We start from the raw sequence: 23,688 nt of genomic DNA on the forward strand, positions 1-23,688 counted from the left end.
GCATGCTGGGATTACAGGAGTGAGCCACTGCACCTGGCTAGAATTTTCTTTTTAAGGCTGAATGATCTTTTGTATGTATATACCATGCTTTGTTTATCCATTCATCTGTCAGTCAACAATACTTAGGTTACTTCCCCCCTTGGCTGTTGTGAATAATGCAGCTATGAACATGCTGAAAGTGCTCCCAAGTGTACAAATACCTCTCCAAGACCCTCCTTTCAATTTATTTGAATATATACCCAGCAGGGGAATTGCTGGATTATATGGTAATTTTTTTTTTTTTTTTTTTTTTTTTTTTTTTGAGACAGAGTCTCACTCTTGTCATCTAGGCTGGAGTGCAATGGCGCGATCTTGGCTCACTGCAACATCTGCCTACTGGGTTCAAGCTATTCCCCTGTCTCAGCCTTCCAAGTAGATGGAATTACAGGCGCATGCCACCACGCCTGGCTAATTTTTATATTTTTAGTAGAGACGGGGTTTCACCATGTTGGCCAGGCTGGTCTGGAACTCCTGACCTCAGGTGATCCACCCGCCTCGGCCTTCCGAAGTGCTGGGATTACAGGCGTGAGCCACCGCGCCTGGCCTATAGTTTTTTTTGAGGAACTGCTGTGCTGTTTTCTTTAGTAGCTGTACCATTTTACATTCCCACCAACAGTGAACAAGGGTTTCAGTTTCTCCACGTCCTTGCCAACATTTTTTTCTGTTTTTCCATAGCAGCCATCCTAATGGGTATGAGATGATGTGGTTTGGATTTGCATTTCCCTAATCATTAGTAATATTGAGCATCTTCTTACATGCTTTTTGGTATACAGTTCCTTTTTAACTAATTTTCTTAACATGTGTTTTGTAATATGTATCAGCATAGTTTTACATGTATTAAACCACATGAAATTGCTAATATTCTAGTTTTTTGCTTTTCGTTTTTGTTTTTGAGACAGGGTTTCACTTGTCACCCAAGCTGGAGTACAGTGGTACAGTCTTGGCTCACTGCAACCTCAACCTCCCAGGCTCAAGTGATCCTCCAGCCTAAGCCTCCCAAGTATAATAGCTGGGACTACAGGTGCATGTCACCATACCTGGCTGATTTTTTACATTTTTAGTAGAGACGAGGTCTTCTATGTTGCCCAGGCTGGTCTTGAACCCTTGGGCTCATGGGATCTGCCCACCTTGGCCTCCCAAAGTGCTGGGATTACAGGCGTGAGCCACCGTGCCCGGCCACACTGTTTCTTATGGTTCAACCTTTAGTATATACAGTTGACCCTTGAACAACATAGGGATTGGGTGTTGACTCCCCACACAGTCAAAAATGTGCATGTAACTTGATTCCCCAAAAATTCAACTAATAGCCTACTTTTGATTGGAAGCCTTACTGATAACAGGTAGCCAAATAACACATATTTTATATGTCATATGTATTATATACTGTATTCTTATAATCAAGTAAGTGAGAGAAAAAATGATAAGGAAGATAAAATATATTTACTGTATTTATCGGTATTGTAAGGTTTTTACTGTATTTACATATGAGATGAAACATCTGTCTGAAATGGCAGCAACCACAGCTGTGGACTTCAATCTGTGGTACATATCAAGCAATTCAGCTTTTTCTTGTAATGTCACGACTTGTTTTCTGCTTCTTGGGAGCACTTCCAGCATCAGTAGTGGCACTTCATATGGGTCCCATGGTGGGATTCAAGGTTTACAGTATTGCACTAAGCATGATGAAAAATACCACAAAAACTGCAAGAAATCACTTTTTCCATCTTACTGGGATACCAGATGTCCTGGATATGAACTGCTGAAGCGGGGATGGGTAGTGTCACACACGTTTTAAGCAGATACTTGCAGCGCTTGAGCTCACTACAGTAACAACAGGAAGTGGCTACATTAACAGCACACTGTGTACTATAGTTAATTTTATGCAGTTACGGTTTCAGACTGCATCCCGACATTGGTTTACATTTCTCTTGACTGAGAATGGTGCCACGTGTGGTCTGTAAGTAGGTAAGTTTTGTTAAGTTTTACCTTTTAATAATAGATGTGCATATTTTATGGTAGTAAGTGATAAAATAGACTAGTATTTACATGTATTTTATACATTCATGACATAAGTAGCTTCTTAATTTCTTTGATATTTCTAGGCTGTGCAATTCATCTGAGTTTTTTCAAATTGTTGAAAAATCTCTCCCAAAATTTCCAATATATTTATTGAAAAAAAATCTGCATGTAAGTGGACCTGTGCAGTTCAAGCCCATGTTGTTCAAGGGCCAACCACAATTTAGGAATACACATACACATTTTAGGCGTACATGCCCAGCAGGACTGGAGATGGCTGGACTGGGAGAGCGTGTCCCTTGTGGGGAGAGGGGCCTCTCGCCCTCCAGTGTGAGTTGTCTCAGCCTGAGGCCAGTGCTGTGGATCCAGAGAGGGCCACAGAGTGGCCGACTTGTACCTGTTATGGTCATTACAGGTGGTCAGCTGTAGCTGGATGTGTGCCTTGAAAGGCTGACAAGTTTGCCCTGAGTGACTCACCTACTGTCACCTGATCCAACAAGATTTGTGGGCGTAGCCTGCCGATGGGTGACGCCAGTTAAAGGTAGAGCGTCGGCACCGGGAAACCCTGGCTGGGGTCGGGCTTCTCTCTGGGTACTGGGCCACCGGTGCCTGGCGTCCAACATCAGAGCACACAATACACTTGAAAAACAGTTCAGCTGGACCCAGGCAGGGTTCTAGGTGCTGGGGCCCCAGTTTTGAACTAAACAGATGGCAGGGGGAACAGTAAATGAACAAGTAAAATACAGTTTCAGAGGGTGCTAATTCCTATGGGAAAAGGCCAGAGAAGGGGATAGGAAGTAAACTTTTAGTTTTTAAAGACAAGGTCTCCCTATGCTGTCCAGGCTGGAGTGTATTGGCACTGTCATAGCCTCAAACTCCTGGGTGCAATTGATCCTCCCAGCTTAGTCTCTGGAGAAGCTAGCACTACAGGTGTGATTCACCACAATGGATTATTTTTTAATTTTAGAGATGAGATCTCCCTGTGTTGCTCAGGCTGGTCTCGAATTCCTGGCCTCAAGCAAATCCGCCTCAGCCTGGAGTAACTGGGATTATAGACACTAGCCATCGCCCTGGCAGGAAGTGCGGTTTTAAATAGAGAGGTCAGGGACAGCTTCATGGAAAGACGTCATGGAATGGGAGCAATGTGACCCCCCAGGCCACATTGGAAGACCTTTCAAGAGTAAGGGGACAGCAAATGCCTGGGCCTTGAGACAGGAGCATGACCAGAATGTTGGAGGAAGACAGAAAGAGCCAGTGTGGTTGGAAGTGTGGGAGGTGGGAATGGTAAGGGCATGGGAGAGGGGCTTACCTTTGTAGCACTTCCTGTCTCTTCCACCTGAAGCAGAGACCTGATCTTACTGGTCCCTCTGGCCATCAGACCTAGTCCTTGGGAGATGCAGGGGGTTTCAGAACAACCTGCTGATGGTTTGGCAGAAGTCACCATGTGCATAAACCAAAGCCCTGGATGTGGGTTTAAACCTAAAAGAAAGGCCTTAAATTGGATAGTGATGCAAGATGAGGTTGGGAAGGCTGGTGGACTGATGGAAGAGGGTCTGGAAACTGCCTGGAGTTGAGGTTTGATTTTTTTTTTTTTTTTTTTTGGACATCAGGAAATCACAAAATTTCTTGAGCAGAGAAGTGCCTCGGTGATGAACAGTACAAGAGATTAGATTTTGGGAAATGTAACATGGTAGGACTCAAAGGACCCTTTTGAGCAGGGCATGAAGATGGAGGTGGGAGACCCGGGAGCGACTCCTGCGGCCGCACAGGCCAGGCAGGTGAGGACTAGGGTAGGACTTCCACAGGAAAGGGGAAACGGTAAGAATTAGAGGCAGCTCAGGTGAGACAGAGCAGGCACAGAACCATGGGGAAAATATTGGAGGAGTGGGATGTGTTCTGACTGAGACCCGAGGAGGTGAGCAGAGGTGGAGGTATGAGGGGTTGCAGCAAACATGTTCCTGTCTGAGGAGCACCACGGGGCACTGGGGGGTCCTATGGGGATTGTAGAATCAAACCTATGATTGGATCTTTAGGGGGTTACTTTTTAAGTGCATGTTTCCATAAAGTAACAGGAATGTTACTTCATTTCCTCCTAAATCAGGGTAACCTTTATGCATTTGAAAAGCATAAAGTCCCCACACAGTCTGAATTAAAGCAAAAGTTGCTTATTCAGGATGGGAATCAAAAACTCTCACACCTCAAATTTGCATCCAGTGAACAGTAAGCAGGAGCAGGGCTTTCTCATGAAGACGTATTTCAGTCTTTGGTTTTATTTTTGAGGTTTGTTAAAGTTGGGCATCCAAATCCCACTTGGTGAAAATACTACAGACCTGGGGAAGTTACTTTTCAAACCACAGATCTTCATGACACTGGGAGGCAGTCAGATTGGAGGGATCAGTGTGGATTCTGCACAGATCTGGGGTAGGAGGCAAGCGTGGGTAACGCTCAGCTTATTGTTGGATCTCACCACAGTGAAAGACAAGCACTTCCCTCATTGAAAGTTGATTTTCTTTTTGCCCCAGTTGTAACTCATTTGACATTCACTAAATACCAAGCCCTCCCTATCTGGCAGGCACTGTTCTAAGAGCTCAAAGTCCTAGCCTGGGAGAGTGTGGACCCAAGGAAGTGTGGCCGGGCTGGTGGGGCCTCCCCGAAGGCCTGCTTCTCCTTCACCCTCACAGAGTCAGCCCCACTGGAGGCAGAGCTCATTGAGGCATCTGGAACCCACGGAGGCCTGTAAGGGCTCCCTCGCTGCTCCTTGCCTTCCCTGGGTTGGAAGTGGGGGCTAGCCACTCCCACCACAAGTTTCTCCTGCCCATTCCAATAAAAGCCTGTATGTCCCAAGAGCCAGCTTCCCTACCCCATAAGAGACCACTGAGTATCAGACTGGTAGCAGGCTCCAGAAGTTAGTTGTGGGACATTCCCTGAGCTCCAGTCCTGGGGATGTTTATTCTCTGGGCGGAGGGTGAGAAAGGAAACAAAGATGTTGCAATCCACTCCACGAACGTCAAATGCGTCATCTGAGGAGGGGGAGGGCCGGGGCAAAGGAGGGGCACCCTGACATGGAGCCTGCCAGCTCCGTCAGCCCTGACTCGGCCCGGAGCTGAGCTCCCCACCTGCCGGTAGCCCAGGAGATGGAGCAGCCCAGCCCACGTGCCCGGCCTTCCGCCCCTGACTTCACTTGATAACAAACTAGAAACTGAAACAGGGTCGGGATGCCGATGCCGGCTTGGAGTTAGAGATGAGTCACCGCTGAGAGCAGCTGCAGTAGCTGAGCAGTGGCAGCAGAGAGGCAGACGTGAGCTGAGGGCGCAGAGGCAGGCAGGTGAGAGCGGGAGCTGGAGCAGCAGCTGGGGAGGCAGCGGGAGGGGCCTTCCCGGTCCCCAGGCTGCGGGGCAGGCCAGAGGCCCTGGGACACACGGGCAGGGTAAGGCAGGGGATGGGGGAGGCAAGAGGCCAGCTTCCACTGTGGCCAGGTGGTGTCGGAAACAAAGGGCAGGGCGGAGGGTAAGGCCAGCTGGGGTTGGCTGAGGACACCTGGAGGCTTGGTTTGCCCAAGCGTGAGACCGCCCCCCATACCCCTCTCTCCAGCATCTCTGAGGGTCCCCAAGGAACATGGCTGGGAGCCGTGAGGTGGTGGCCATGGACTGCGAGATGGTGGGGCTGGGGCCCCACCGGGAGAGTGGCCTGGCTCGTTGCAGCCTCGTGAACGTCCACGGTGCTGTGCTGTACGACAAGTTCATCCGGCCTGAGGGAGAGATCACCGATTACAGAACCCGGGTCAGCGGGGTCACCCCTCAGCACATGGTGGGGGCCACACCATTTGCCGTGGCCAGGCTAGAGGTGAGTGAAGGCCCGGCCAGCAGGGGCTTTGGAAATAACCCCTCTCCCACTTCCCTGGCCCCTCTTCCCTGGTGCCCATCTGTGACCTGTGACCCCACTTGTAAGATTTCCCACACTGCTGTTGGGAGAAAGCCGGTGGTGTCTCCATCACATCCTGGAGAAGGCTTCCTGTCTTCAGAGAACCATAGACTCACATCTGGAAGCCGCCTTTGGGGCATCTATCTGGATCTGGTCCAACTTGCCGGTCTTAAAATGGGGAAACTGAGTTCCCCCACACAGTGACTTGGGGTCTACATTCCCCATTCTTCCCTCTACCCCAGGCTGCCACTGGTGAGACCTGTGGGGAAATGAGAGGATTCTTGGCTGAGGCTCTGGCAAGAGGCTTTGGCCCTCCCAGTCCTGGAGAACAGGCTGAGCCTCGGGCTGAGGACCTTGCTCTCAGGCTAGCATTCTGACCCAGAGTAGGCTGTCTGCTCAGTTTGAATCCTGAGTTCGTGGTCCAGGGATTTCCTGCACTCTTGCTCTTAGCTGATTGTGAGGTCATCTCCCCGTCTCACTTTCTGTTTCTCTGAATTACTAAGTGGAAAGCAAAACTTAAAGGTGTCAACACGGTTAGCCACCCCTGGGAAATCTCAGAAGGGCAGGCGAGCTCGTCAGTTTCTAGACACCATGGTAGGGTTTGAGGAAGTCCAAGAAGAACACAGGTTCCTCAGCAGCACACACCCAATCCGTGCCAGGCTCCAGGTGCTGGGGATGAAATGACAACAATAGCTACTATTGACTGAGCACTCACTATGCACTGGCCGCTCCCCTAAGCACTGGCCATTCCTGAGCTCATTCACTCCTCACAAACAGCCCTGCCAGGCAGGTCCTCAGGAACTGTTAACGCAGAGTTAAGAGGGTCAGTTTCAATCTCAGTTCCCATTACTTAACAGCTAAGGTACCTTGGACAAGTTACTCAACCTCTTTGTACCCAGTAAAAGAAAAGAAGGATAATAGTAGTAGCAACTTTGTTGGGTTATTGCGAGGATTGAGAAAGGGTCTAGATAGAGTGCCTAAATAGGTACTCAAAAAAATGTTAGCTATTGGCTGGGTGCAGTGGCTCACATCTATAATCCCAGCACGGTGGGAGGCGGAGGCAGATGGGTGGCTTGAGCTCAGGAGTTCAAGACCATCCTGGGCAACATGGAGAAACCCCATCTCTACAAAAAAAAGTACAAAAATTAGCCGGGCATGGTGGCACATGCCCATGGTCACAGCTACTCCAGCAGCTGGGATCACTTGAGCTCAGAAGGTCAAGGCTGCAGTGAGCCAAGATGGCACCCACTCCAGCCTGGGCAACAGAGCCAGGAAAAAAAAAAAAGTTAACTGTTTTGATTGTTTTTTTGTATGTCTGTTTTATTATTATTTTTTTTTTAACCGGAGTCTCTCTCTGTCACCCAGGCTGGAGTGCAGTGACATGATCTTGGCTCTCTGCAACCTCTGCCTCCAGGATTCAAGTGGTTCTCTGGCCTCAGCCTCCCAAGTAACTGGGACTACAGGCACCCGCCACCATGCCCGGCTAATTTTTTTTGCATTTTTGGTAGAGATGGGGCTTCACCATGTTGGCCAGGCTGGTCTCGCTCGAACTCCTGACCTCAGGTGATCCGCCCACCTCGGCCTCCCAAAGTCCCAGGCATGAGCCACCGCATCTGGCCATGGTTGTTTACCTTATTATCCCCATATTACAGATGAGGAAACTGGGGCTCGCTTGATTATTTGTTAGGGCTGCCATAACAAAGCACCACACACTGGTGGCTTAAACAACAGGAATGTCCTGTCTCGGGGTTCTGGAGGCTGCAGTCTGAGATCCAGGTGTCGCCCAGGTTGGTTCCTTTTGAGGGTTGTGAGTGGGAATCTGTTCCCTGCCCCTCTCCCAGATTCTAGGGGTTGTTGTCAAAGCTTTGGGGTACCTTGGCTTATAGATGCCTCACTCAGATCTCTGCCTTCATGTTCACATGGCATTCTCTCTGTGTGTGTCCAAACTTCCTCTTTTTATTTTTATTTTTTATTTTTGAGATGGAGTCTTGCTCTGTCGCCCAGGCTGGAGTGCAGTGGCAGGATCTGGGCTCACTGCAACCTCTGCCTCCCAGGCTCAAGTGATTCTCCTGCCTCAGCCTTCTGAGTAGTTGGGACTACAGGCACGAGCCACCACACCCAGCTAATTTTTGTATTTTTAGTAGAGATGGGGTTTTACCATGTTGGCCAGGCTAGACTCAAGCGATCCGCCTGCCTTGGCCTCCCAAAGTGCTGGGATGACAGGCATGAGCCACTGCACCTGGTTAGCTTCCTCTTTTTTTTTTTTTTTTTTTTTTTTTTTGAGACAGAGTCACTCTGTTGTCTAGGCTGGACTGCAGTGGCACGATCTCGGCTCACTGCAATCTCCACCTCTTGGGTTCAAGCGATTTTCCCGCCTCAGCCTCCCAAGTTGTAGTATAGGTGTCCGCCACCACGCCTGGCTAATTTTTTATTTTTAGTAGAGACGGGGTTTCGCCCTGTTGCCCAGGCTGGTCTTGAATGCCTGACCTCAGGTGATCTGCCCTCCTTGGCCTCCCAAATTGCTGGGATTACAGGTGTGAATCACTGTGCCCAGCCAACTTCCTCTTTTTCAAAGGACACCAATCATATTGGATTATGAGCCCACCCTACTACTCCAGTGTGACTTCATCCTACCTTAACTAATTCTATCTGCAACGACCTTATTTCCAAATAAATCACGTTCTGAGGTATTGGGGGTTAGGATTTTAACATATGAATTTGAGAGAGCGGGACACAGTTCAACCCATAAACTGAGTAACTTACGCTGTTAAGATAGATGGAATATGGGACAACTGCTCAGGAATCCAAACTCAGGCTTACAGTCTCTAGAACTATGCTGTCCAGTGGGGTCCCCAGCAGCCATATGCTGCTAGTAGACTGAATTCAGACCTGGAGTGTAGCTGGTTTGAACTGAGATGTGCTGAAAGTGTAAAGTCCACACTGGATTTTTTGTTGTTGTTTTGAGACGAAGTCTCGCTCTATCGCCCAGGCTGGAGTGTGGCGGCGCGATCTCGGCTCACTACAACCTCCATCTCCCAGGTTCAAGGGAGTCTCCCGCCTTGACCTCCCAAGTAGCCTCCCAAGTAGCTGTGCACCACCACGCCTGGCTAATTTTTGTATTTTCAGTAGAGACGGGGTTTCACCATGTTGCCAGGCTGGTCTCGAATGCCTCACCTCAAGTGATCCACCCACCTCAGCCTCCCAGAGTGCTGGGATTACAGCCATGAGCCACTGCATCTGGCTGAAGCCTTGTATTTAAAAAAGAGACAGGCCAGATGCAGTTGTTCATGGCTGTAATCCCAACACTTTGGGAGGCCAGTGCAGAAGGATGGCTTGAGCCCAGGAGTTTGAGACCAGCCTGGGCAAGATGGTGAGATCTCCTCTACAAAAAAAATAAATAAATAAAATAAAAATTAGCCAGACATGGTGGTGCATACCTGTAGTCCCAGCTACTCGAGGAGGCTGAGGTGAAGTATTGCTTGAGCCCAGGAGTTTGAGGCTGTACTGAGCTATGATCATGCCACTGCACTGCAGCCTGGGTAAGAGAGACCCTGTCTCTATTAAAAAATAATAATAATTAAAATATTAAAAAGAGCCATAAAATGTCTCAATAACTTTTATATTGATTACCTGTTGAAATGATAGTATTTTGGATATGTTAGGTTAAATAAAACGTTAAAATTAATTTCACCTATTTACTTTTTACGTTTTGAAACATGGCTGTTGGGTGATATAAAATTACATTTGTGGGCCAGGTGCAGTGGTTCACACCTGTAATCTCAGCACTTTGGGAGGCTGAGGCAGGTGGATCACTTGGGGTCAGGAGTTCAAGACCAGCCTGGCCAACATGGTGAAAACCCATCTCTACTGAAAATGCAAAAATTAGCCGGGTGTGGTGGTGGGTGCCTGTAATCCAAGCTACTCAGGAGGCTGACGCAGGAGAATCGCTTAAACCCAGGAGGCGGAAGTTGCAGTGAGCCAAGATCGTGCCACTGCCACTCCAGCCTGGGCGACAGAGCAAGACCCCATCTCAAAAAAAGAAAAAATTACATCTGTGGCTTGCATTATATTTCTATTGGACAACACTGTTCTAGAAGTACAGATTGAGTAGCCCTTATCTGAAATGCTGGGGACCAGAAGGGTTTTGGATTTTGGATTTGGGATTTTTTTGGATTTTGGAATATTTGCATTATACTTACTGGTTGAGCATCCCAAATTTGAAAATCTGAAATTTGAAATGTTCCAATGAGCATTTCCTTTGAGCGTCATGTTGGCACTCAGAAAGTTTAGGATTCTGGAGCATTTGTATTTGGGATGCTGTACCTGTATCAACAGTACAGTGTGGGAACCCTGGAGATGGTCACAGTACATCATCTTGGTTCTGGAAAGACTCCGTGAAGCTGGTGGTATTTGAAAGGGGTGGAGGAGAGTCTATGTAGGGAATTAAGTGGGCCATAGGGAGCCATTGAAGATTCTTGAGCAATGCATGGGAGGATAAAAACCAGTTTCAAGAAAACTAGAATGGGAATACCATGCAGGATAGATGGGAGCGAGAAAAGAGATGACGGTAAGAGTCAGAGGCTGGGCATGGTGGCTCACACCTGTAATCCCAGCACTTTGGGAGGCCGAGGTGGGCAGATCACCAGAGGTCGGGAGTTTGAGATCAGCCTGGCTAACATGGTGAAACCCCGTCTCTACTAAATATACAAAATTAGCTGGGCATGGTGGCATGTGCCTGTAATGTAGCTACTTGGGAGGCTGAGGCAGGAGAATTGCTTGAACCCGGGAGGCGGAGGTTGCTGTGAGCTGGGATCGTGCCACTGCACTCCAGCCTGGGCGACAAAGTGAGACTTAGTCTCCAAAAAAAAAAAAAAAGAAAAGACAAAAAAAAAAAGAGTCAGAGGCCCTAGGGAGCAGTTACAAGGGCCTGCATCATCTTTGGCAGACAGAGAATTGGAGTGAAGAAAACGTTAGGAAAGGAAGAAAACGTTTGGAGAGTCACCAGAAAGGTGAGGGCAACATGAAGAAGAGGTGGGAGTCTGTTCAGGTGCTGATGGGAGGCCCAGGGACACCACAAGGAGCTCCCCGCCCTCAGATTCCCACTGAGCAGTCAGGGTGGGCAGTATGTCCCTCTCCTTCCTCCTTGTCCCCAATTTCCCTCCCCATCAGACAGACAGAAAGGGGCAGAGGAGCCCAGAGCAGGGAGAAAGGAGGCAGTAGAGCAGTACCTCTCCGAGTCCCTGTACATCCAGACCTGGAAAACCGCAATTCCCTGGGCGCCCTTGAGCATTGGCCTCGGGGCCTGGACGCCTCAGTCTTCATCCACATTTGGTGCAGAAATGCTTTTGTTTCTCAGTTAGAGGATATGCCAACTCCACTCTTTAAGCGTGTGACACGGAACCCTGCTCAGACTGGGCACTTGATAGCCACTGAACGATGAGGCAGGGGTTCAAAGACCAGGCAGGTCTTTGGAACCACATCCGGGCTTCTCAGTTCCTGCTCCATCACCTATAGGTTTGTACAATTGTCAGCAAGTTATTGAACCTTTCTGAGGCTCCATTTCCTAATCATAAAAGAGAACTCCTAGTGCCTCCTCCCTGGTCTCATGCGGGTCAGATGCCGTGACATGGACTGTGGCCCTAAGCGCGGTGCCTGGTTCACAGCTGATGTTTGCTAATTGCACCCATGAAGAGAGAAGGGCAGAAACCCAGTCCCCTCTCCGACTTCTCTTGGGAACTGCGGTCTTCGATGCTGACCCTCGTTTTCTGCCGGCTGTATCTTGTGTGCATGCTGCTCTCTCCCACTCTGCTGCCAGAGAACTTCCCTAAACCTGGCTCAGATCATCGCCGCCTCCCCTATTAAAATATCTCCCATGGCTCCCTATTGCCTAAGGTTCCCCCAGCTCAGCACCTAGCAGTCAGGCTCTCCAAACCCCTATCTATCTGCCTTTCTTGCTTTCTCTCATAGCTCAGCCATTGCCTACCATGCATTTCAGCCAACTCCTAGTCTCTCCTATCCCCCATCCCTCTCCCTAGAAATACCATCATTCTGGCAGCCCCAGGCCAGAAGAGACCTTTATGATGCACTTACCCACTCCTGCCCACCATCGCTGCCCCACTGGTCCCTAGCCTCTGGCCCTCCTTGCTGTTGCTGATGCACATCATAGCTCGTCCATTCATTCACACCATCTGTCTATTTCCACAGCTCTTACTATACACTTTATCTGCCCCCAGACTGGAACCTGTGTTTTGCACACAGGTGACTTGAGAATGTTTGTGGGATTGAAGTTGAACTGATTTTCATAAATACAAAAGAGTTCTGGCAGCTGCGTGGAGTAAAATTGTCTCTGCCCTGTGTTGGCCTTTGCTGTTGAGATGTGGTGATGCATAGCCCTGATGGGCAGGGAGCAAGCACACTGTCTTTAGATTGGGCTGCATGTGGATCCAATCCCAACTTTGCCTCTGGATTGCTCTGTGTCCTCTAGCTTGTTGCTCAACCTCTCTGTGCTCCCCTAAGTAGGATCCTCTGTAACACAGAGATGATTAAATAGTACAGGTGTATCCAGCCCTGTGGCCCAGGTGCTATTCTGAGCACGTTTCATACTCCCCACCACAACCCTGAACTAGTACCATCACTCCCATTTTACAGATGAGGAAACTGAGGTATGAGACTGAGTAAGCTGTCCAAGGAAGGGATAGAGCAGAGACTCAGATTCTGGCTCCTGAGCTGGAGCTGTGGTGTTCAGATCCCATGCTCAGTGTGTGTGAATGCACTCTATAAATGCTAAGTGTCCAATGTATGTAAGGGGCGAGGTCCTGCATAGCACATGGGTGGAAATGTGGCCCAGTAATGGTCATTATTTGTCTCTGTGGATGAGGACACTGAGTGTCAATTTGTTGGAGGCTCCGGAGGCAGTTTGATCCCATTTATCATCCATAATGTTTTAATCCCAAAGACAGATCAGGCTCACGGGCCCCCAAATGTGCTGAGGGCCCCCAAAGGGCAGAAGCCTAACAGCCCTTTTATGAGATCCCACAAGGCCAGGTGACACCTCTCAGGTGAGTCTAGGGTTGGCCAGCCTTTGGTTTCATGCAGGCATTATTTTCTTTCTTTTTTGAGACAGAGTCTTGCTCTGTCACCCAGGCTGGAGTGCAGTGGCGCAGTCTTGGCTCACTGCAACCTCCGCCTCCCAGGCTTAAGCAGTTCTCGTGTCTCAGCCTCCTGAGTAGCTGGGATTACAGGCATGTGCCACCATGCCCAGCTCATTTTTGTATTTTTAGTAGAGATGGGGTTTCATCATGTTGGCCGTGCTGGTCTTGAACTCCTGGCCTCAAGCAATCCTCCTGCCTTGGCCTCCCATAGTGTTGGGATTATAGGCATGAGCCACTGCGCCTGGCTATGCAGGCATTTTTCAAAGGCCCCTCACCTCTCCGTCTCCTCCCAGTAAGGAGTAGTGAGTGTGCCCAGCCAGCAGCCAGCAATCAAGTAGCCCATGGTGGCCAGGAGGCTCCGGGGAGTCCCAAGTCCACCCAGGAGTGCTTTAGGCCACTGATGTGAGTGGGACCCCCCCCCCACTCCACCCCTTTTTATTTATTGTAATGTGGCGACATTACTTTTATAATGTAAGTGCTTATGATCTTCTGACATCTCTGTGTCTGACCATTATATAGAGGGGATATTTAGCAATGTTGGGAGACATTTCTGGTTGTCACAGTGGCCGGTATCTAGTGGGTAGAGACCAGAGAGCTCCCAAACATCTCACAATGCCCAGGGCAGCTCCCTCCCCTGCCACGCACACATAACAAAGAAGTATCTGGCCCCACATGGCAACAGTGCTAAGGCTAAGAAACCCTGGTCTATAAGAGAGCGCCACAAATCAGACTGTCAGCACAGGAGGGAATCCATGCACTGGAGACTGGCGTCCAGAGAGGGGCAGTGATTTGCCTAAGGACATACAGGAAGCTATGATACAAATCACTGCTCAGATTCATGGGTCCCACCTGGCGAGTTAATGTTTTTCTTCTTCCTTTTTAAAAAATCTAACAGTAATTTTTAGTAACTTGTAAATCAGTTTTGTGAGTGAATTCTCTTTTAACGTCAACCCAGCATAAGGAGGGGCATCCACCCTGAGAAGCACCGTGGTCGCGGGCACAGATGCAGACAGAAGGGAAGTCATGGTAGCTTGTGAACAGGGAGAGGTTTCAGCTGTAGCCAGCCTGGTAGCCCTTGCACAGGTGGGAGTGTCCTGTTGGGGCCCTGCCACCTGGCAGGTCCCTCTGGGTCTCAGCCAGATGAAGGAGGAAGGCTTCAATATCCAGATTTGCCCCAGGGTAAGTGGCCTTGTGGGAACCAGGCACTAGCCGGGGGGCGGGGACACCAGGGGAGCTTGGCAGGGGACAAGAGCAAAGAATGGGGCTGGAGCCACTCCAGAAGGTGATAGTAAGGGACCTGTCCTCTGTAAGAACAAGATTCTTCAGGGCCCCTTACTCATAGCCTCCTCTCCTGGCAGCCAAGAATGAATGAATGGGTACGTGAACTAGTGTATAATGGATGAATGAATGCATGGTAGAGGCAGCAGGCTCTGGACTGCTCAGCGGGATTCAGTGCAGAGATGTGCAGACTTGTTAGATGGGAAGAATCCCCTGAAACAGTTGCTGACACCCCTCCCTGGATATTTCAATTCAGTAGGTCTGTGTAGGGCCTGGCCCTCCTGGATTTTTGGATCAGGCACATCTGGGAAATACTTGGAGTAGAGTGGAAACACAGTGGAAGGTGTGTGCAGGCAGACAGCCGCACCTGGTCTGGCACTCCCCTGCTTGTGACCTGGGTGCACACCGCCCTGCGCCCCGCTTTGCTGGCGGGTCAGATGGTATGGAAGTCACCGCCTTGCACCGTTATCATTGTGTGCCTGGTAGTGCCCTGTCCCTTGGTCCTTGTGCTAATAATAACAACTACAGTAACAATGATGGGGTCAGGTGGATCCAGACACGGCACTGCAGCTTTCAGCTGACTAGCTGTGTGACTTGGGCAAGCCCCTTAATCTCTCTGATCTCGGGCTCCCTCCTCTGTAAAATGGAATTAAGAATAACCTCATTGAGGAGCTTCCTGAGGAGGTAAGGAAAGTGCCTGGCACAGTGCCAGGCTGCTAAGAGATCAATAAATGTCCCATCCCCCAGCCCCACCCCAGTTCTTTCCAGGAATTTGAGAGACTCCTCCCCCTGTGTTTGAAAGTGGCAAAGTCTGGCACACTTGCCTCATGACACTGACTCAGGGCAGGTCCTGTGGCCAGCAGGTCACACAGCCCCGAGGCCAGCCTGCCAGTGCCTTTCTCCGACTCCTGGGCTCCAGCAGGTGCCCGACTCCTTCCCTTTTCAGACCTGCCTCAGTCTGTGGAGCCCTGGCTGCTAAAGGGCCACTCAAGCCTCACCAGTCTGGGCCCTCACCTTACAAATGGGAAAACTGAAGCCCAGAGAGGGTCTTTGACATCCCTGAGGTCACACAGCAAGTTCCAGCATCTCTTCCTTCCCAGAATCTTTGTCCCAAAGAGTGGTGTCTCTTTGCTAAATAGATGGTTCTGTTCTTTCCCTTCTTCCTCTTCTTTCCTCGGCTTGTCCTCTCCCTCTTATTCTATTTGTCTCGTGGTGAGTCACATAGTGCCTCATGTAGACCCCCACTTCCCCTCTCCAGACTCTCAGGCTCGGGAAGTGATGGGTTTCCTGGGAATCCACACCATGATGACTCGTACCTTCTACGTCTGTGCCCAGCTGTGGCTGCCTCTGGGATGGTGGATGAGTTCCTTCAGGGCTTTGTGTGAACTGGGCCTGAGCCAAGCCCCTAGATGGGGAAAACAGGCCACATTGTTCAGGAGCACAAAGGATGTTAGCAAGAAAAGACACATGACCCATGGCCGCCCACACACCCACATCTCTCCACGCCCCGTGCCATTTCTGCCCGCCGCTGCGTGCTGGGTGGTTTCCTCTGCACAGAGTTTCCCTTGAGCTGCTACTCTGAGGTCGTGTGCCTGTTGTCATCTTTTAAAGCCTCAGTTTTGTCGCCATTTCCCAGGTGACCTCTAGCACACTCAAGTTTGAGAAGCGCTGGTGTGGTTCAGGAGCAGCGCCCCTTCATTCTCCAGCACACTCTCCCCAGTCCTCTAAGTCGAGCGTGAGCTCTGTCCAGAGAAGGCCTCCAACCAGACCATGTGGACCGCGGGGCAGGCTGGTGACACTGCCTGTTGACAGTGGATGGACAGACTGCTTCCCGCATAGTGACCCTGGGCAAGTCACATCTCCTCTCTGAGCCTCAGTCTCCTGTGGTTGCCAGGGGAGAACATGTAAAAGGGAACACATGATGTTCCAGGAGGCCGCTGGCTATCTAGAAGGAGAAGCAGGCTACGGGGAAGGTGTTAGGCACCAGAAGGCTCTTTCCTGGTGTACAGGCTAAGGTCGTGGGCTACATGCAGAGAAGGAGACGAAGGCTGTCCTAGAGCTGTCCAAAGTGGGCCTGGACTAGCCACGAGCCGCCCCTTTCCCTAATAGAGCTCACATCTGTTCTATTTTCAGGTCCCCTTCCCATCCTCTCCAACGGCAGCTGAGTGAAAGCAAGCTGACTGGCCTGTGTGACCAGAGCAGGGCAGGCTGTCCATGTGGGAGGCGAGGCGAGGAACGCGGGGCTGGGGCAGTCACAGCTGGGCGCCTGGGCTGCTGGAGGCCTGGAGTGGTCGTTCACTCTTCTGGCTCAGTGTGGCAGTGGCAGGCGGGCTCTGGATTCATCCCACTGGCTTCAAGGCCTGGCTTTGCCACTAACTAGCCGTGTGACTGTCCCAGTTATCAAATGGTGCTTGGCAAATCACACCAAAACTTACCGGTTCAAACAATGTCAATACTTATTTCGCTCGGCCACCTGCAGTTTGGGCAGGTGCTCTGCAGCAGGACAGGCCGTCAGTTAAGGCACCTTGAAGGCTGGGGGCTGGAACCATTGGAAGGTTTGCTCACCCACCTGTCTGGTGGCTGGTGCTGGCCTGCCTTGGACACATCACTATCTCGGTGGCTTTTCCCCGTGGTCTTTCCAGCATGGTGGCTTTGGGGTGGCCAGACATTTATTTATTTATTTATTTATTGAGACGGAGTCGTGCTCAGTCGCCCAAGCTGTAGTGCAGTGGCACGATCTCAGCTCACTTGCAATCTCCCTCCCAGGCTCAAGCAATTCTCCTGCCTCAGCCTCCCGAGTAACTGGGAATAGCCACGGCGCATGGGTAATTTTTGCATTTTTAGTAGAGACAGAGTCTCACCATGTTGGCCAGGCTGGTCTCAAACTCCTGGCCTCAGGTGATCCACCTGCCTCACCTCCCAAAGTGCTGGGATTACAGACGTGAGACACCGTGCCTGGCTGGTGGCCGGACTTCTTATAGAATTGCGGTCCCAGAGAGAAGTCAGAAGTCATACAGGCCAGCCCATATGCAATGGGAGGGGAGTTTGATTCCATCTTTTTTAAGAAGAGTGTCAAGGAATTTGCAAACTTGTTTTAAAATCATCAGAGTAAGCCTGGGCATGTCACTCCTCTGCATTTCAGATATTTCCTTTGTAAAACTCAGTTAAATGCAGTGCTCCCTCCTCACTGTTAGTTTTCTGTGGCTGCCGTAAGGAAGCCATCAACTTAGTGATTCACAGCAACACAGATGTCTTCTCTTACAGTTCTGTAGTTTCGAAGTTCAGCGTGGGTCTCACTGGTCTAAAATCAAAGTGTCAGTGGGGCTAGGTTCCTTCTGGATGCTCTGGGGAAGAATCCATTTCCTCGCCCTTTCTGGCTTCTAGAGGCTGCCTGAATACCTTAACTCACGGCCCCTCCCTCCATCTTCAAAGCCAGCAACAGCCTGTTTTCCTCATGTGGATTCACTCTGACCTCCACATGTAAGGAGGCTTGTGATTATGTTGGGACCACATGGGTAGGCCAGGTGATCTCCCCATTTGAAGGTCGACTGATTAGCAATCTAAGTTCTGCCCGGAACTTTAATTCCTCTTTGCCAGGTAATGCATTCACAGATCCTGGGGACTAGGGTGTGGACATCTTTGGGAGGTCATTATTCTGCCTGCCATAATAGAATTGTTGGGAAGATTAAACAACATAATATACATGACGTATGTTGAGGCACGCTTGGCACCTGGGAAATACTCAGGATGTACTAACCATTGCTCCTACACAGTTCAGCTCCTGAAGGAGTCCAGGTGGGCTTTTGGCACAGAATGAAACTATCAGGTGTGAGGAGGGTCCTAGTGCAATCTCTTCTTTTCAAAGATGATACATTTGAAGCCCAGGGAGGACTGATAATTTGCCCAAGGTCACACAGCCAGTCAAGGAGGGATTGCTCCCTTGCCAGCCCCAGCCCCACCCAGAAGATGCTGGGTCATGTAGGGGTGGGCACATGTCTTCCTGGCCAGATCCTGCAGCTCCTGAAAGGCAAGCTGGTGGTGGGTCATGACCTGAAGCACGACTTCCAGGCACTGAAAGAGGACATGAGCGGCTACACAATCTACGACACGTCCACTGACAGGCTGTTGTGGCGTGAGGCCAAGCTGGACCACTGCAGGCGTGTCTCCCTGCGGGTGCTGAGTGAGCGCCTCCTACACAAGAGCATCCAGGTGAGAACCTCCTCGTCCTTCTCCTCCTCCCCCCTCCTCCCCCTCCTCCCCCTCCTCCTCACCCATCTCCATTTCCTCCCCCTCCTCCCCCTCCTCCTCCCCCTCCTCCTCCCCCTCCTCCTTCTCCTCCTCCTTCTCCTCCCTCCTCCCCCTCCTCCTCCCCCTCCTCCTCCCCCTCCTCCTTCCCCTCCTCCTTCCCCTCCTCCTTCCCCTCCTCCCCCTTCCCCTCCCCCTTTGCCCTCCTCCCCTTCCTCCTCCCCCTCCCCCTCCCCCACCTCCTCGCTCTTCTCCCCTTCTTCCCCTTCCTCCTCCCCTGTCCCCTCCCTTTCCTCCTCCTCCCTCATGCCCTCGCACACCTCAGGGCAGCTTGCCTGAGGCATTGATGGTAGGTCCTGCTGTGCCTGGTCCCTGGCTGGTAGAGTGAGGATGAGGGCAGGGAAGGGAAAACACCCAACAAAGGTTTGCTTTTGTTGTTGAAATCAAGCCAGTTACCCTGTGGGAAGTGAAGCTTGCTCCCACCATAGAACTCTGGGCAATGATGTAAAGCACACACCTCACCTCAGATATGTCTCACAGCAGGGGCCGGGGAACTGGGATATTTGTACACCAGTTCCCATCAGCCACCAGCTGCTGCTGCTCCTGGGCACTGATTCCGCAGCACTTCTGGCTGGTGGGCAAAGCAGGCAGGAAAAGGCATACGGATATGGGGGGTTGGGAGTTCACCCTGTGGGAAGGGCAGAGGGAGAGGCGCCAGACACTAAGAGCCAGGGCTGTACACAGGGACCCTTCAGGTCAACAGCTCTTTATTAAACACCTGCTGCCTGCTCTAGGCCAGATCCTAGAGACGCAGGGTGAGCAAGACCCGTCTCTGTCCCTGAGCTCTTGGTTGGTTGGGAGGTGGCCCTTAACCAGATCATCAGCACACATGGTAAGGAGTGTGTGACGGAGGGAAGGGCAGTGCCCTGGGAGCAGGATGAAGGATGGGGCTGGCAGGGCAGGAGACCAGATCTGAACAGAGCCTGGAGGGTCTTAGTCAAGGAGGGCAGAAGAAGGCATACAGAGTGGGGCCAGGTGAGTCAAAGCCTGAGGCTCGGGGAGGGGCTGGGGAGCACGGAGCCCGCCCCTAGCCTGCTGGCAAGAGCTGTAGGAATCATGTCCGGAGTAGGGAACAGGGCTGAGTCTGGGCCTGTTAGCCTCAAGGCACATAAGGCACATAAGGGCCAGGCTGGGCTTTTCCTGGAGCCCTTGCCGCTCTGTGGCTCTCAGTCTGGGGCCTTAAGCCTGACCCAGGGCCTTCTCCCAGGCTCTGTCCCTGGGCTCATTAAGCCTGGTTGTTCCAGAAGCTCAGTACCCCACCAGGCAGCTCCTGCCTGCACTGATGCCCCTAGAAACCAGCCCTCCCGCCCGCCCCCGCTCACATGGACAGTGGTGCTACTGATCACTGTGACCAGAACTGACCCACAGGACACAAGGAGCTAACATGGTAGAGCTGTCACAGTTGGGCAGTGGTGTTACTGCCCCTCGAGGGAGTGAAATAGCAGGCCTGTGGCTCCCTGCCAAGCTGCGCGCATGGTAGACTGGGCTGCACAGGAAAGGAAAGACCCTGCCATTTATGAAGCCCTGTGGAGGGTGCTGGGCACAGTTCTCTCATTCCATCCTTTAAGGCAGGTATAATCAGGCCCATTTCACAGAAGAGGAAACAGAGGCCCAGAGAGGAAAAGTGACTTGCCCACGGTCACAGAGCTCATAAGCAGGGGAGCTGGGAATTGCAGCCTGGGGTTTGTCTGATTCCAAATCCGGGGCTCTTTACCTCCCCACTTGGTAATAAAGGGTGCTGGTGCTGCATTCTGCTTCTGTTCTTGGCTTCCTTCTCCATAGAGCAGAGTGGTAGAACACATAACCTCCCTGTGCCTCAGTTTCCTCATCTGTCAAGGATGGTGACAGGGGCAGGTATGCAGAGGCACAGCGCAGACGACGCCACCATGCTACCTGCTTGCTGATTAATGATAGGGTGTCCAAGCCAAAAAATAAAACTAAACATTAAAAAATAAAACAATACAGCGTAATAACGGCAACAAGAAAAAGCCTTTTTGAGCTGGGCCGTCTAACCAGGTGTCCCCAACACCCTGTCTGGAGTGCCTGGAAAAGGAGCCCCTGTGAGAACAGGAAGTCCTCTCTCGACAGAGGGACACCAAGAAAACGCAGCCAGGTCCAACAGCCCGCTGGCTCCCATGCTGGGTACCGGCCAGGACACCAGGGCTGAGCGGGGCATGCGAAGGGAGATGAAAGGTGACTGCACTGAGGATTTGCCCTGTGTACTCGCCTCTGCAAGATCCACATCTCAGCTGCACAACTGGCTGGCTTGTGTGTGAGCCTCAGTTTTATCATCAGTAAAATGGGGGAATAATCATATCCAGCTCAGAGGTTTAACTTCAGCCTAGTGCACGGAAGACATGGTAAATGGTCATCGCTTCTCCCTTGAATGGACCGAGGGCCCCCGACTCCCATAGCACTACCCCATAAAGTCTAGGCTCCCGACTTCGGCATTCAAGGCCTTCAGTGATAAATCCAGGCCCACCATCCGTCCCCACACCACCTTTCACACACCCCCTGCCCCCACCCTCGCAGGCCTCTTATTTTAGCTGCACATGCTCTCCCTGCCTCCGAAATGCTTGCGGCCTTTCCTTTCCATTTATTGACGCCCTTGTGTTCTCTCTGAGCAGCCCTTCCCTGTGTCCCTAGCTGGAGTTCCTCACTCCCTCCTCAGTGTCCTGAAGCTTCTTGTTAGAGCTGCTGCAGCCACTGCGTGTGTCTGACAGCAAGTCTGCAGCCTCTGCCTCCCTTGCGGGACTGCAGGTGACTTGAAGGCACAGCCTGGTTCCCAGGAGGCTGGCTTTCGTGCCACTGGCCCCAGGGCTGAAGGCAGGCCAGCTCCAGCCACCTGCTGAGTCTCCTAAGTCCAGAGTGTCAGAGACCTCAAGAGACTCTCACCCACTGACCCACCTGGGGACTCTGGAAATCGGGATGTGACCAGGGAAGACCCTGTCACGGGGCCTCTGAATTCAGCCTCATCCCAAGTCCCCACTCTATACTTGTGTCTGCAGAACAGCCTGCTTGGACACAGCTCGGTGGAAGATGCGAGGGCAACGATGGAGCTCTATCAAATCTCCCAGAGAATCCGAGCCCGCCGAGGGCTGCCCCGCCTGGCTGTGTCAGACTGAAGCCCCATCCAGCCCGTTCCGCAGGGACTAGAGGCTTTCGGCTTTTTGGGACAGCAACTACCTTGCTTTTGGAAAATACATTTTTAATAGTAAAGTGGCTCTATATTTTCTCTACGCCATCACTGGGTCCTCTTCTTATTCTTCTCTCCAAGCTGGGTTAACAGTAGACAGGACCCATTTCTGTGTGATGTTAGGAGGGAATGAAGTCTTATGCTGGGGAGGTGGGCAAGTATCAATTTCCTTAATATCTTGAATCCTGTGGGTCCAAAATGTGGCTTGGAAATCTAAGTAGCATGTGGCTTAATTACTAATCCCACCCTTTGCTGTTGCATCCCAGCCCTATTCCTGGTGCATTTATGCCCAGAGAGGTGGCATTATTTCCTGGGGTGGCATTCAGCTCCTCTTGAGTTGGTGCCACAGCATTTGTGGGCTTTGAAGCAAAGGTACAGGAAATGTCAAGGGTGCCACCCCGGCAACCTTGAGCAAGTCACCCCTCCTATTTGTAAAATGAGGAAGGAAAGGTAACAAACTGTGGAGTCAGAGAGAAGTAGGTTGGAATCCTCTTTGTCATTTAGTAGCTGTTTGACCTAAGGTGGTTTACTGAACTTCTCAGTTTCTCCATCTGTAAAATGAGAATTCTAGCAACTCGTAGGGTATTTGTGAGATGTTGCAGGCAAAGCCCCCAGCACCATGCCTGTCCTAGCTTAAGCACCCACCAGGTGTCGATAAGTAATTGTTCTTCCCTGGACTGCCTGCACATCTAGGGCACCCCAGGAAGAGTCACCGCACTCTGTTTCGGGGCTCGGCTCTCTGAGGGGAGGGCATCCTGTATGGGGAGGAGGGTCTGGACCAGAGCTGTCCCTGATCGCTAGAATCAACGGCAGAATTCTTGTTATTTTAATAATAATTAATAATTTAGTGCTTCCACTAAATAAAAATCATTGGAATGGTGTCCAAGCAATTTTTTTTTTTGAGATGGAGTCTCACTCTGTCACCCAGGCTAGAGTGCAGTGACTGGATCTCAGCTCACTGCAATCTCCACCTCCTGGGTCCAAGCGATTCTCCTGCCTCAGCTTCTCAAGTAGCTAGGATTACAGTCATGTGCCATCACACCTGGCTAATTTTTGCATTTTCAGTAAAGATGAGGTTTCGCCATGTTGGCCAGGCTGGTCTCAAACTCCTGACCTCAAGTGATCCACCCCACCTCGGCCTCCCAAAGTGCTGGGATTACAGGCGTGAGCCACCACCGCACCTGGCCAAGCTGTTCCTTTTTTTAACCTCCACAGGTGATTCTGGTCCTAGGGTTTTTGAGTCACCTGCAGTGCTTTCTCAACCATCCCAGCACCTGAACACGGTGCTGTCACACTACAGTGAGCAACTGCATCACCTGGCAGGTGCTGGGTCCACCCCCAGAGTTTCAGATGCAGTGGGTTGCGGTGGAGCTCGAGAATGTGCAAGTTCCCCATTCTAACAAGTTCCCCGCTGCTGCTGGCCCGGGGGCCATGCTATGAGAGAAGCACTGCCTAAGCATCAGGTGTTAGGATGTGCAGCCACAGTTGAGAGCTGGCCCCAGGGCTGGGCGCCACCAAGGTGCACTCAGTCACAGGTCCAGCCTCTCCCCATGCCGCCTCCCTTGGCTGCCTGTTCATGCAGAGAGGTCCACAGCCCGGCAAGATGGGTCCCAAATGGCCCACTGCACAGATGAGGGACTCGACCAAGGTTAAGAACCCAAGAGATTTCAATCCAGACCTGCCTGATCCCCAAACTCAAGTGTTTTTTTCCCCTCAGCTGTCCTAGGATGGCAATGCCTCCCATCTGAGCCACTGACCTCTGGGAAGCTGGAGGGCCCCCTC

The 23,688-nt window shown here is 51.2% G+C and overlaps 1 protein-coding gene across 7 annotated transcripts, besides 11 other annotated features; it reads left to right on the top strand.

Moving 5' to 3' along the window:
* Positions 1 to 1,935: 1,935 nt before the first annotated feature.
* Positions 1,936 to 22,787, top strand: ISG20 (interferon stimulated exonuclease gene 20). Of its 7 annotated transcripts, NM_001303234.2 has the most exons (5): positions 1,936 to 2,004; positions 2,471 to 2,596; positions 5,647 to 5,898; positions 18,414 to 18,614; positions 21,719 to 22,787. In NM_001303234.2, the coding sequence occupies exons 3-5, from the start codon at positions 5,671 to 5,673 to the stop codon at positions 21,833 to 21,835; spliced, it is 546 nt and encodes a 181-aa protein (NP_001290163.1). In that variant the 5' UTR covers positions 1,936 to 2,004; positions 2,471 to 2,596; positions 5,647 to 5,670; the 3' UTR covers positions 21,836 to 22,787. The 7 variants fall into 7 exon arrangements, 6 of the variants coding, with proteins under 6 accessions (NP_001290163.1, NP_001290162.1, NP_001290164.1 ...); NM_001303233.2 differs by lacking the exon at positions 2,471 to 2,596; NM_001303236.2 differs by lacking the exons at positions 1,936 to 2,004; positions 2,471 to 2,596 and adding an exon at positions 5,320 to 5,482 and having other exon boundaries at positions 16,539 to 18,614.
* Positions 2,422 to 2,716: an enhancer, noted in NCBI's record as "tiled region #1748; HepG2 Activating non-DNase unmatched - State 17:Gen3'". NCBI's record gives its function as "activates a minimal TATA promoter and a strong SV40 promoter by Sharpr-MPRA in HepG2 cells {active_cell/tissue: HepG2}" and the evidence as "EXISTENCE:reporter gene assay evidence [ECO:0000049][PMID:27701403]".
* Positions 4,257 to 5,235: an enhancer, noted in NCBI's record as "H3K27ac-H3K4me1 hESC enhancer chr15:89181184-89182162 (GRCh37/hg19 assembly coordinates)". NCBI's record gives its function as "activates a minimal SCP1, AML or CMV promoter by ChIP-STARR-seq in primed H9 embryonic stem cells {active_cell/tissue: H9 hESC(primed)}" and the evidence as "EXISTENCE:reporter gene assay evidence [ECO:0000049][PMID:30033119]".
* Positions 4,257 to 5,243: a biological region, named in NCBI's record as "H3K27ac-H3K4me1 hESC enhancer GRCh37_chr15:89181184-89182162".
* Positions 4,754 to 4,873: an enhancer, noted in NCBI's record as "active region_10030". NCBI's record gives its function as "activates an Ori minimal core promoter by ATAC-STARR-seq in GM12878 lymphoblastoid cells {active_cell/tissue: GM12878}" and the evidence as "EXISTENCE:reporter gene assay evidence [ECO:0000049][PMID:35858748]".
* Positions 4,904 to 5,243: an enhancer, noted in NCBI's record as "active region_10031". NCBI's record gives its function as "activates an Ori minimal core promoter by ATAC-STARR-seq in GM12878 lymphoblastoid cells {active_cell/tissue: GM12878}" and the evidence as "EXISTENCE:reporter gene assay evidence [ECO:0000049][PMID:35858748]".
* Positions 5,236 to 6,214: an enhancer, noted in NCBI's record as "H3K27ac-H3K4me1 hESC enhancer chr15:89182163-89183141 (GRCh37/hg19 assembly coordinates)". NCBI's record gives its function as "activates a minimal SCP1, AML or CMV promoter by ChIP-STARR-seq in primed H9 embryonic stem cells {active_cell/tissue: H9 hESC(primed)}" and the evidence as "EXISTENCE:reporter gene assay evidence [ECO:0000049][PMID:30033119]".
* Positions 5,454 to 5,543: a silencer, noted in NCBI's record as "silent region_6791". NCBI's record gives its function as "represses an Ori minimal core promoter by ATAC-STARR-seq in GM12878 lymphoblastoid cells {active_cell/tissue: GM12878}" and the evidence as "EXISTENCE:reporter gene assay evidence [ECO:0000049][PMID:35858748]".
* Positions 5,864 to 5,943: an enhancer, noted in NCBI's record as "active region_10032". NCBI's record gives its function as "activates an Ori minimal core promoter by ATAC-STARR-seq in GM12878 lymphoblastoid cells {active_cell/tissue: GM12878}" and the evidence as "EXISTENCE:reporter gene assay evidence [ECO:0000049][PMID:35858748]".
* Positions 6,254 to 6,643: an enhancer, noted in NCBI's record as "active region_10033". NCBI's record gives its function as "activates an Ori minimal core promoter by ATAC-STARR-seq in GM12878 lymphoblastoid cells {active_cell/tissue: GM12878}" and the evidence as "EXISTENCE:reporter gene assay evidence [ECO:0000049][PMID:35858748]".
* Positions 14,298 to 15,059: an enhancer, noted in NCBI's record as "H3K4me1 hESC enhancer chr15:89191225-89191986 (GRCh37/hg19 assembly coordinates)". NCBI's record gives its function as "activates a minimal SCP1, AML or CMV promoter by ChIP-STARR-seq in naive H9 embryonic stem cells {active_cell/tissue: H9 hESC(naive)}" and the evidence as "EXISTENCE:reporter gene assay evidence [ECO:0000049][PMID:30033119]".
* Positions 23,281 to 23,330: an enhancer, noted in NCBI's record as "active region_10034". NCBI's record gives its function as "activates an Ori minimal core promoter by ATAC-STARR-seq in GM12878 lymphoblastoid cells {active_cell/tissue: GM12878}" and the evidence as "EXISTENCE:reporter gene assay evidence [ECO:0000049][PMID:35858748]".

Source organism: Homo sapiens, chromosome 15 (assembly GCF_000001405.40).
Source record: "Homo sapiens chromosome 15, GRCh38.p14 Primary Assembly".
NCBI lineage: Eukaryota > Metazoa > Chordata > Mammalia > Primates > Hominidae > Homo > Homo sapiens.